The 12,665-nt window shown below is 45.6% G+C and overlaps 2 annotated features.

Annotated features, from left to right (window-relative positions):
• Positions 933-1,743: an enhancer, noted in NCBI's record as "H3K27ac-H3K4me1 hESC enhancer chr22:41444536-41445346 (GRCh37/hg19 assembly coordinates)". NCBI's record gives its function as "activates a minimal SCP1, AML or CMV promoter by ChIP-STARR-seq in naive H9 embryonic stem cells {active_cell/tissue: H9 hESC(naive)}" and the evidence as "EXISTENCE:reporter gene assay evidence [ECO:0000049][PMID:30033119]".
• Positions 1,744-2,552: an enhancer, noted in NCBI's record as "H3K27ac-H3K4me1 hESC enhancer chr22:41445347-41446155 (GRCh37/hg19 assembly coordinates)". NCBI's record gives its function as "activates a minimal SCP1, AML or CMV promoter by ChIP-STARR-seq in naive H9 embryonic stem cells {active_cell/tissue: H9 hESC(naive)}" and the evidence as "EXISTENCE:reporter gene assay evidence [ECO:0000049][PMID:30033119]".

Genomic DNA, 12,665 nt, shown 5'->3' on the forward strand with positions numbered 1-12,665 from the left:
GACAGGGTCTCACTCTGTCCCCCATGCTGGAGTGCAGTGCCTCAATCTCAGCTCACTACAACCTCTGCCGCCCCACTCAAGTGATCCTCCTACCTCAGCCTCCCACGTAGCTGGAACCACAGGCAAGTGTCACCACACTCAGCTAATTTTTTAATTTTTTTGTAGAGACAGAGACTCACAACGTTGCCCAGGCTGGTCTCGAACTCCTGGGCTCAAGTCATCCTCCCTCCTCAGCCACCCAAAGTGCTGGGATTGCAGGCGTGAGCCAACACGGCTGTCCTCTTTTAGCAATTTTGAAATATACAATGTAGTAACTGGTTTCTCTTTGACCCTTCCTTTCTTTTTCAGTATAGCAATGGAATTGGATTGGGTAATCCTAATGTTCCTTTCACTTTTTGAGTTTCTTTGGAAATATTTTAAGTTGTTTACAAAAAAGATATCACTCACAAACATCTGTTAAAGTAAATGTTTTATTGCAGCATAACACAGAAGAGCACACAAATCACAAGTGTTCAACTTGGTAATCAAGTGAACAGACTCCTGTAACTCACATGTGGATCCATCTGAATCTCCAAAAACCCTTCCAGTCACTACCACCCCCAGGGCCGCTATTATCCTGACCCCATAGATTAGATTTGCCAAGGACAATTAAAAGCAAATCATTCCAGCATCCTAAAACAACTACATTCACATTTGCGCTTTTCTTTCCAGTCTTTTCAAGATGTAAACATAGGCGCACACGGTGGCTCACGCCTATAAATCTAGCACATTGGGAGGCCGAGACAGGCAGATCGCTTGAGCTCAGGAGTTCGAGACCATCCTGGCCAACATGGTGAAACCGCGTGTCTACTAAAAGTAAAAAATTAGCCGGATGTGGTGGCGCACTCCTATAATCCCAGCTACTCGGGAGGCTGAGGCAAGATAATTGCTTGAACCTGGGAGGCGGAGGCTGCATGGAGCCGAGATTGCGCCACTGCACTCCAGCCTGGGCAACAGAGTGAGACTCTGTCTCAAAAAAAAAAAAAAGATGTAAACAGGTGCTGACAGTTGTAACTAGTTGACATGCACTTTTGTTTTCACACCCACACACTCCCATCAGTTTTTTTACCTTTATGTACCTAAGACAACATAATCATTAATGCTATTCTCCTTTCTGGTGCCTATTACGATATTAAAGGGAAAATGCCATTATAGACATTTCTAGGCGAATCGCACTGGAGCAGTAAACACGTGGATGAACAGCCCGGAATCCACTCTCATCAGATAAGAGAAGAATCCAGCTGCCTCTTGCTGCACCACAGCTCCCTTTCCCTGGGGCTGTGTTTCCGATTCCTCTTGGCTCTACTTTCCCGGCCTCTGCCTGGTGGCCTGAGAGCTGCGGGCTATGGCTGGCCAGGGGGCGGGCCCAGGCGCGGAGCATGTGTTTTGAGCATTAGTGGAATCTGTCGGATTAGTGCTTCCTGCTCATGCTGGTTTCACAGAGAGAGCAGAGGCAAGATGGATGCGGGAGGCACAGGCGTGTCCCCGCGGTCCTGTAGTGTGGGTACAATGGCTTTATTTCAGACTTTGTCTGCCGGTTTCCAACTTGGCTTATCCATGTGTCCGTCCCCTGCAAGTCCACGCTGCTTCCGCTGTGGAGTCTACAGACATCTGGTTATCGAGGGAAGCATTTGTCCAGCGAGGATTCAAAGCCAGACACAAAGCCACCACTGGCTTGAGTACCATGGATGGGGTTTATAGGGGAGTGAGTTCTGAGTCCCTGCCTGCTCCCGCAGCCCACCCACCATGGCGAGGAGCAGCCGCTGACTATGCCGACCTGTTTAGTGTCGCCAGTGATTTATGGCCCAGTGGGGCCCAGCTGTTGGCCGTGGACACAGCAGCTGCTCAAGGTTAAGCAGGCCCTGTGTGAGGGATGCAAGTCACAGGATGGACCCAGTGCAGTTGTTCCCTCTTGGGGTCAAGGGGGCGATCATGTTGCCAGTCTGAAAACCAACGCAAGCTAAGGAGGGCTGTTCCCTGCAACACACATGCACTTGCCCCCTCCAGCTAAGGCCCAAAGCTCTGCTCTAAGTCTGAATCCGCTGCGTGGCTGTTGGTGCCAGGCTGAGCTGAGAGGCTGTTCAGGAGGCCTTGTGCAGCCCTGCAGGAACATGTGGGTTGTCAGAGCTGCTGCCCTGTTGTCCCATGGCATTACCTGATTGTCACCCAAGAAGGAACGTGCCTTGGAGTAAGGGCTGAGAGAGGAAGGGAACAGCCAGCTCTTTATGGAACCCTCACCATGGGCCAGGCCCTGTCCAAATGCTTTCCTTGGGTTTTCACATCTAACCCTTGCAACAAGTCAGTGGGGTAGACTTTACTAATATTTCCCTAAACCTCCTGAAAATGGGAGTTCAGAGAGGGTGAGGAAACTGACCAAGGTCACACAGCTAGGCTAGTGCCTGTCTCTGGGGCCAGAATTTTTTTTTTTTTTTTTCTGAGATGGAGTCTCACTGTGTCACCCAGGCTGGAGTGCAGTGGCGCAATCTAAGCTCACTGCAACCTCCACCTCCCGGATTCAAGCAATTCCCTGCCTCAGCCTCCCGAGTAGCTGGGACTACAGGCACCTGCCACCACGCCCGGCTAATTTTTGTATTTTTTTTTCAGTACAGACAGGGTTTCACCACCTTGGCCAGGGTTGTCTTGAACTCCTGACCTCGTGATCCACCCACCTTGGCCTCCCAAAGTGCTGGGATTACAGGCATGAGCCACCACACCAGGCCACTTCACTCTTTTTAATAGCCAAATAATATTCCATTGTATGGGTATCCCACATTTTCCTTAGCCACTCTAGTGATGGACATTCATGCTGTTTCCAGTTTTTCACTATTATAAATAATGCTGCTATTAATATTTATGTAAACAATTTTGTGTGGACATATGTTTTCATTTCTCTTGGATATATACCTAGGAATGGAATTGCTGGGTCATATGGTAACTGCTTAACTTTTTGAAGAACCACCAAACTTTCTTTTTTCTTTTTTTTTTTTTTTCAAGACAGTCTCGCTCTGTCACCCAGGCTGGAGTGCGGTGGTGCGATCTCAGCTCACTGCAACCTCTGCCTCCCGGGTTCAAGCGATTCTCCTGCCTGAGCCTCCCAAGTAGCTGGGACTACAGATGGGCACCGCCACGCTGGCTCATTTTTGTATTTTTAGTAGAGACGGGGTTTCACCATGTTGTCCAGGCTGGTCTCAAACTCCTGGCCTCAAGTGATCACCCGCCTTGGCCTCCCGAAGTGCTGGGATTACTGGAGTGAACCACTGCACTTGGCTTCTTTTTTTAAAAGGCAGGGTATTGCCATGTTGCCCAGGCTGGAGTGCCGTGGCTGGCTGTTCACAGGTATGATCCCACTACTGATCAGCACGGGACAAACTTTTTGAGAAACCACCAAACTGTTTTCCCCAGTGATGTACCATTTCACATTCCTACCACTAATGTATGAGGGTTGCAATTTCTCCACATGTTCACCAGCATTTGTCTGTCTTTGATTATAGCCATCCTAATGTGTATGAAGTGGTATCTCACTGTGGTTTTGATTAATACTTGGTCTAATGGCTAATGACATTGAGACTATTTTCATGTACTTATTGTCCATTCATGTATCTTTTTTTTTAGAGATATCTTTCTCTAAAAAGTTTTAAATCTTAAAAATTAAATCCTTTAAAAAATCTTTCTCTAAAAATAGTTTAAAAACTATTTTAAAAATTAAGTTACTGTGGTCGGGCTCGGTGTCTCACGTCTGTAATCCCAACACTTTGGGAGGCCAAGGCAGGCATATTACCTGAGATCAGGAGTTTGAGACCACCCTGGCCAACTTGATGAAACCCTGTCTCTACTAAAAATACAAAAAATTAGCTAGGCGTGGTGGCAGATGTCTGTAATCCCAGCTATTCAGGAGGCTGAGGCAGGAGAATCTCTTGAACCTAGGAAACGGAGGTTGCAGTGAGCCAAGATCGTGCCACTGCATTTCAGCCTGGGCAACAAGAGTGAAACTTCATCTCAAAAAAAAAAAATTAAGTTATTGTCTTAAAAAAATTTTTTTTTAATAGAGTCAGGGTCTCACTGTGTTGCCCAGGATGGTCTTGAACTCCTGGGCTCAAGCAATCCTCTTGCCTCAGTCTCCCAAAGTGCTGGAATTACAGGCGTGAGCTACCACGCTGCACCCAGCCTATCTTTTTATCATTGAATTATAAATATTCTTTCTAATACTCTGGATACATGATTTGCAAAGATTTTCTACCATTCTGTGTGCTGTCTTTTTGCTTTCTTTTTTTCTCCACTTTTTTATTTTTTTGAGATGGAGTCTTGCTCTGCCACCCAGGCTGGAGTGCAGTGGCATGATCTCTGCTCAATGCAAGCTCCGCCTCCCGGGTTCACGCCATTCTCCTGCCTCAGCCTCCCGAGTAGCTGGGACTACAGGCGCCTGCCATCGCGCCCTGCTAATTTTTTGTATTTTTAGTAGAGACGGGGTTTCACCGTGTTATCCAGGAGGGTCTCGATCTCCTGACCTCATGATTCACCCGCCTTGGCCTCCCAAAGTGCTGGGATTACAGGCATGAGCCACCGCGCCCAGCTGTCTTTTTGCTTCTTGGTAATGTCCCTTGAAATACAAAAGTTTTCATTTTTTTTTTAGACAGGGTCTGACTCTGTCACCCAGGCTGGAGTGCAGCAGCACCATCTTGGCTCACTGCAGCCTCCCCCTCTTGAATTCAAGTGATTCTCCTGTCTCTGCCTCTCTAGTAGCTGGGATTATAGGCACCCACCATCACACCTAGCTAATTTTTGTATTTTTAGTAGAGACAAGGTTTCACCATGTTGGCCAGGCTGGTCTTGAACTCCTGACCTCAAGTGATCTGCCCACCTCCACCTCCCAAAGTTCTGCAATTACAAGCATGAGCCACCATGCCCGGCCTAATGATTTTAAATATGTGTCAGTGGTCCCCAAGACTGCTCTCAGGATGGATGATTTATAAGGAGGACTCAGAGGACTTAGCATGTAGTCATTTTCACAGCTAAGATTTATTATAGTGAAAAGATACAAAGCAAAATCAGCAAAGGGAAACAGCTCATGGGACAAAGTCCAGAGAAAACCAGACACAAGCTTCCAGAGTGCTCTTCTAGTGGAGTCAACATATTACATATCTAATTCCTCCAGCCGCAAGTTGTGATAACATGCGTGAAATGTTGTCTACCGGAGAAGCTCACTTGAGATTCAGTGCCCAAGTTGTTAAATTGGGGCTGGTCACGTATGCACTCTCTGCCTAGCACATACCAAAGTTGCAGACTCACAGAAGGAAAGCAAGTATTTAGCATAAACCACATTGTTTGTATAGTTTAGGCACAGTGAGCCACTCTTAGGAGTCCTGAAATCCATTTCTCCAGACATTAACCAAGGGTCAACCTTGAAAGCATGAATTTCTAAGGATAGCAGTCTCACGCCCACCACGTTAAGTCTTTTCTACACAAGATGTTAAACCAGTTTTGCATCATAGGGATAAATTCCTTTGATCATGGTGTGTAACTGGTTTTGTTTTGTTTTGTTTTGTTTTTACAGACAGGGTTTCATTCTATCAACCAGACTAGAGTGCAGTGGCAAGATCATAGCTCACTGCAGCCTTGACCTCCTGGGCTCATATGATTCTCCCACCTCAGGCTCCTGAGTAGCTGGGATTACAGTCACACACCACCATATCTAGCTCATTTTTTTGGTATTTTCTGTAGAGACAAGGTCTCTCTATGTTGCCCAGGCTGGTCTCAAATTCCTGGGCTAAAGCAACCACCTGCCTGAGCCTCCCAAAGTGCTGAGATGAGCTACTGCGCCCGGCCTGTAACCCTTTTTATATATTGTGGGATTCAGTTTCCTAGTATGTATTTTATTCAGGATTTTTGTGTCTAAATGAACAAGGGATAATGATCTGTGGTTTCCTTTTCTTGTGATATCTTTTTGTGGTTTCAGTATCAGAGTAATACCGGCATCATACAATGATTGGAAAGTGTTCCCTCCTCCTCTGTTTTTTGTAACAGTTTGTGAAAGATTGGTTTAAGCATATTGATTGGCCTGTTGCAGTAGCTAATGCCTGTAATTCCAGCACTTCGGGATATCGAGGTGGGAGGACTGCTTTAGCAGGAGTTCAAGACCAACCTGGGCAACAAAGCAAGACCTGATCTCTTCAAAAAAAATTTTTTTAATTAAAAAAAAAATAAGGCCAGGCGCGGTGGCTCACGCCTGTAATTCCAGCACTTTGGGAGGGCAAGGCGGGCAGATCACCTGAGGTCGGGAGTTCGAGACCAGCCTGACCAACATGGAGAAACCCTGTCTCTGCTAAAAATACAAAATTAGCTGGGCGTGGTGGTGCATGCCTGTAATCCCAGCTACTCGGGAGGCTGAGGCAGGAGAATCATTTGAACCCAGGAGGTGGAGGTTGCAGTGAACTGAGATGGCACCATGGCACTCCAGCCTGGTTGATAGAGCAAGACTCTGTCTCAAAAAAATAAATAAATAAAAATAAATAAATAGGCCGGGCGCAGTGGTTCACGCCTGTAATCACAGCACTTTGGGAGGCTGAGGCGGGCGGATCACCTGAAGTCAGGAATTTGAGACCAGCCTGGCCAACATATTGAAACGCAGTCTCTACTAAAAAATACAAAAATTAGCCAGGCGTGGTGGCAGGTGACTTAATCCCAGCTATGTGGGAGGCAGAGGCAGCAGAATCATTTGAACCTGGGAGGCGGAGGTTGCAGTGAGCCGAGATCGAGCCATTGCACTCAAACCTGGGAAATAAGAGCGAGACTTCTCTCAAAAAAAAATAAATAATAAATAAATAAATAAATAAAATTAAGTAAATTGGTAGAAGTTTCCTATTACTGCTATAACAAATTACTACAAACTTAATGACTTAAAAAAGCACAAATTAATTCTTTTTTTTTTTTTTGAGACGGAGTCTCTCTCTGTCACGCAGGCTGGAGTACAATGGCACAATCTCGACTCACTGCAACCTCCACCTCCCGGGTTCAAGCGATTCTCCTGTCTCAGTCTCCCAAGTAGCTGGGATTGCAGGCCAGCAGGCCCACACCCCCACGCCTGGCTAATTTTTTGTATTTTAGTAGAGACCGGGTTTCCCCATGTTGCCCAGGCTGGTGTTTTTAACTCCTGAGCTCAGGCAATCCACCTGCCTTGGCCTCCCAAGGTGCTAGGATTACAGGTGTGAGCCACCACGCCCAGCCACAGATTTATTCTTTTACAATTTTGGAGATTGAAAGTTCAAAATGGGTCTTACAGAACTGCAGCCAGGTGTCAGCAGGGCTGGTTCCTCCTGGAAGCTGCAGGAGAGGAATCCGCTTCTTGCTTCTTCCAATTTCTAGAGGCTGCTCATGGCTTTTTCTTCCATCCTCAAAGCCAGCTAAGTGGCAGCTTCTCTTTTAGACTCTACGTACCTCCGCTTCCTTCTTCCTATGGCTTTGGAACCTTGACTCTTTCTGCATCCCTCTTATAATTTCCCTTGTAATCACATCTGGTCCACCCATGTACTCCAAAATAATCTCCCCACTTTGAGATTCTTAATTACATTTGCAAAATCCCTTTTGCCATATAAAGGAACACTCATAGGTTCTGCAGATTAGGGCATAGATATTTTGGGAGGGCCATTATTCAGTATTCCATAATTGGTATTAATTTTTCTTTGACTATTTGGTAGAATTCACCAGTGAAGCTATCTAGGCCTGGATTTTTCTTTATGGAGAGTTTATTATTATTATTATTATTATTATTATTATTTTGAGACAAGCTCTGGCTGTATCTCCCAGGCTGGAGTAAGGTGGCACAATCCCAACTCACTACAACCTCTGCCTCCTGGACTCTCGCCGTCCTCCCACTTCAGCCTCCCAAGTAGCTGGGACTATAGGCGTGCACCACCATGTCCAGCTAAATTTTGTATTTTTTGTAGAAACGGGTTTCTGCCATGTTGCCCAGGCTGGTCTCAAACTCCTGAGCTCAAGCAATTCAACCACTTCAGCCTTCCAAAGTGCTGGGATTACAGGAATGAGCCACTGCACCCAACAAGTTTTTATTATTAATTTGATGTCTTTACTTGTTATAGGCCTACTCAGATTTTTGGTATCTTTTTGAATCAGTTCTGGTAACTTTTTTCCTAGAATTTGTCCATTTCATCTAAGTTACCTAATTTGTTGGACTACAGCTGTTCATAGTATTCCCTTGCAATCTTTTTTTTTTTTTTTTTTTTTGAAACAGAGTCTCGCTCTGTCGCCAGGCTGGTATGCAGAGGTGTGATCTTGGCTCACTGCAACCTCTGCCTCTTGTGTTCAAGCGATTCTCCTGCCTCAGCCTCCTGAGTAGCTGGGATTACAGGTGTGTGCCACCACACCTGGGTGATTTTTGTATTTTTAGTAGAGACCATGTTGGTCAGGCTGGTCTCGAACTCCTGACCTCGTGATCCACCCGCCTTGGCCTCCCAAAGTGCTGGGATTACAGGCGTTAGCGACTGCGCCCAGTATAATCTTTTTTTTTTTTTTTTTTTTTTTTGATACAGGGCCTTACTCTGTTGCCCAGGCTGGAGTGCAGTGGTGCCATCTCAGCTCACTGAAACCTCTGCCTCCCGGATGCAAGCAATTCTCCTGCCTCAGCGGGTGCCTGGGATTACAGGCGCCCACCACCACTCCCGGATAATTTTTTGTATTTTTAGTAGAGACGGGGTTTCACCACCAACGTGGATATGTTCTAAGAGGCCCAGTGGATGCCTGAATCCTCAGATAGTACTGAACCCTATATATACTATGTTTTTTCATATACATACATACCTATGATAAAGTTTAATTTATAAATGTATAAATTAGGCACAGTAAGAGATTAACAAAAATAACAATAAAATAGAACAATTATAACAATATACCACGCTCGTGCTTTGGGACCATTATTAAACCGAATAAGGATAACTTGGACACAGGCACTGCAATCCCAAGACAATCTGATAACTGAGAAAGCTACTAAGTTACGGCCAGTAGCATCTAGAGCCTGGACAAGCTGGACAAAGGGATCATTCTCATCCTGGGCAGGACGGAGTGAGATGGTGCGAGATTTCATCATATTACTCAGAACTGCTCGAAATTTAAAACATGAATTGCTTATTTCTGGAATTTTCCGTTTAATATTTTCAGAGGGCGTTAACGGCAGGTAACCACAGAAATCAAAATTGCTGATAAATGGGGGGGGATCTAGTGTAGTATAACACTCTGGCTGGGATTAATAGCAATTTAATTCCAATTAATAAACTACAACTTTACTTCTCTGTGGCTGTTTTCCACCTCCTTTGTGCTGTTATTGTCACAAATTACATTTTTTTCTTAGATAACATGTCCTTGAAACAAATTACATTTTTATACGCTGTGTGCTCATCAACAGATTTATAATTCTTGATTTATGCAGTTGTCTTTTAAATCACACAGGAGAAAAAAGATAAACAAAATGTATTTATACTTGTCTTTTGTATTTACCTATATAAAAGTATGTACTCTGCTGGTAATCCCCAATTACAATGGCCCAAGAGTTCTATAATGCAGAGATTTTCAGGGCTGAAAAAAAAAGCCATCTGCTTTGGTATTTCAGATCTAAGTACTTATAAGGAGTGGCTTGGGAGCAGTAGCCTTAGCAAGAGGTAAGACTTAACTTCCCCCAGGGGCTATGAGCTGAAAGGCAAAACTGGGAGTAAAGATGTTGGCTTCTCAACCCTGTTTCAGAAGGATTGAAGGTGGCTACCACCTTCAAGCTCAGCACAGGCTCATTTGTAGAAGACCAAAGAACAGTATTGAGGCTTAAAAGGTATGTCTAGGCCGAGCGTGGTGGCTCACGCATGTAATCCCAACACTTTCGGAGGCCAAGACAGGCAGATCACCTGAGGTCAGGAGTTTAAGACCAGCCTGGCCAACATGGTGAAACCCTGTCACTACTAAAAATACAAAAATTAGCCACTGTGGTGTCAGGTGCCTGTAATCCCAGCTACTCAGGAGGCTGAAGCATAAGAATTGCTTGAACCTGAGAGACAAAGGTTGCCGTGAGCCAAGATGGCGCCACTGCACTCCAGCCTGGGGGATAGAAGCGAGACTCTGTCTCCAGAAAAAAACCCAAAAAACAAAAAAGATGTGTTTAGATGAGATCTTTGGCTGTAGTCATTAGCACAATTAAGCCAACAGCCAGAAACCTGCTAAATGTTTGAAGGAATTATATTACCAAAGAAACCACTAGCTGGCTCACAAAAATTATAGCTACTCAACCCCTGAAGCCATTCCCAGGCTCCAAAACCTGCACTAGCAGGATGCAGGCTCTGAAAACTGGGCAGCTTACAACAGGCCAATCTCTCCAGGGCCCACCTCTCCCGTGTCCATGGGGGATAATGCCAAAGGAAGAACCTCCCAGAAGGCAGAGCTAGGGGCTATCAGACAGTTGTACCCAACAACTAATTCTACTGCCATACAAGAGAATCCTCCCTCTTCCTGCCCAGATACCTTTACCGACTGCAAGGGACAAGCATCTGCAGCGTGTTTCATATCCCCGCATTTTTGGAGTGCTTTTTTTTTTTTTTCTTTTGAGACAGGGTCTAGCTCTTGTTGCCTATGCAAGAGTGCAGTAGTACAGTCAGGGCTCACTGCAGCCTCAACCTCCTGAGCTCAGGGGATCCTCCCACCTCCACCTCCAAGGAGCTGGGATTACAGGTGTTCATGTGCCACCATGCCAGGCTAATTTTTTTATTTTAATTTTTTTTGTAGAGATGGGGTCTTTCTATGTTGCCCAGGCTGGTCTCAAACTCCTGGGCTCAAACGATTCTCCTGCCTCAGCCTCACAAAGTGCAGGGGTTACAGGAGCGAGCCACCACACCCAGCCCAGTGGTCATTTTTATTGTGATTATTTTTTTCCTATTCCACAACTGTATATTGAAAGATAGTTTGTCTTTCAGTTTATAGGTAGTACCTATATCCAGACCTAATGAATAGTTATGGACTGTGAGCTGAACACACTGGGAGTAAAGATGTTGCCTTTCCAACCCTGTTTTCTCTGCTGCGGAGCAAGTGAGTACTTTACGTGTGAAAAGATATATATTTTTCCACATATATATAAAAATATATATATACACCTCTATATATTGATATAGATGTATATATATATACTGACGATATAATTTATCATTCAGTCTATGACACTTTAAAACATCTCTATTGTTATTTTTATCTATTTATTTATTTCGAGACAGGGGCTGGCTCTGTCGCCCATGTTGAAGTGCAGTGGCAAGATCTAGGCTCACTGCAACCTCCACCTCCCCGGCTCAAGCGATCCTTCCACCTCAGCCTCCCCAGTAGCTGAGAACACAGGCATGCACCATCATGCCCAGCTAATTTTTGTGTGTGTGTGTGTGTGTGTGTGTGTTTGAGATGGAGTCTCGCTCTGTTGCCCAAGGTGGGGTGCACTGGCGTGATCTCAAGTCACTGCAACCTCTGTCTCCCAGGTTCAAGCAATTCTCCTCCCTCAGCCTCCCGAGTAGCTGGGATTACAGGTGCCCGCCACCATGCCTGGCTAATTTTTGTATTTTTAGTAGAGACGGGGTTTCACCACGTTGGTCGGGCTGGTCTCAAGCTCCTTACCTCAGGTGATCTGCCTGCCTCGGCCTCCCAAAGTGCTGGGATTACAAGCCTAAGCCACCATGCCCAGCATTTTTTTTTTTTTTTGAGACAGGGTCTCACTCTGTTGCCCAGGCTGGAGTGCAGTGGCGCAGTCATAGCTCACTACAACTTCAAACTCCTGGGCCAAAGCAATCCCCCTACCTCACAGTCCCAGGTAGCTGAGACTACAGGTGCAAGCCATCGTGCCCAGCTAGCTTTTGTAGTTTTTGTAGAGATAGGGTTTCGCCATGTTGCCCAGGCTAGCCTTGAACTCCTGTGTTTAGGTGATCCTCCCACTTTCAGCCTCCCAAAGTGCTGAGATTACAGGTGTGAGCCACCACGTCCAGCCTACATCTACTCTCAACTCTTTTGGATATATACCGGGGAATTGCTGGATTATAAGGTAATTCTGTGTTTAACTTTTTGAAGAACCACCAACTGCCAACTGTTTTCCTTTCTTTTCTTTTCTTTTTTTTTTTTTTTTTGAGATGGAATCTCGCTCTGTCGCCCAGGATGGAGTACAGTGGCACAATCTCAGCTCATGGCAACCTCTGCCTCCCAGGTTCAAGCAATTGTCCTGCCTCAGCCTCCCACGTAGCTGGGACTACAGGCACATGCCAGCACGCCCAGCTAATTTTTGTATTTTTAGTAGAGACAGGGTTTCACGACATTGGCCAGGCCGGTTTCAAACTCCTGACCTCAGGTGATTCGCCTGCCTCGGCCTCCCAAAGTGCTGAGATTAGAGGCATGAGCCACCCTGATGGCCCTGCAGAATCTTTTTATCCAGCTTAGACCACACCCTGAGGCTGACACACAGGTATCCAGCTGCCTGCTGTCACTAGTGCATGGTCCTTTCACAGGCCCATCTGTCTTGATGGCTTCATCATCTGTAATTTGCTAGGACTGCTATAACATAATACCACAGACAAGTAGCTTAAACAACACAACTTTATTTTCTCACAGTT

This window comes from Homo sapiens, chromosome 22 (assembly GCF_000001405.40).
Source record: "Homo sapiens chromosome 22, GRCh38.p14 Primary Assembly".
Taxonomy (NCBI): Eukaryota; Metazoa; Chordata; class Mammalia; order Primates; family Hominidae; genus Homo; species Homo sapiens.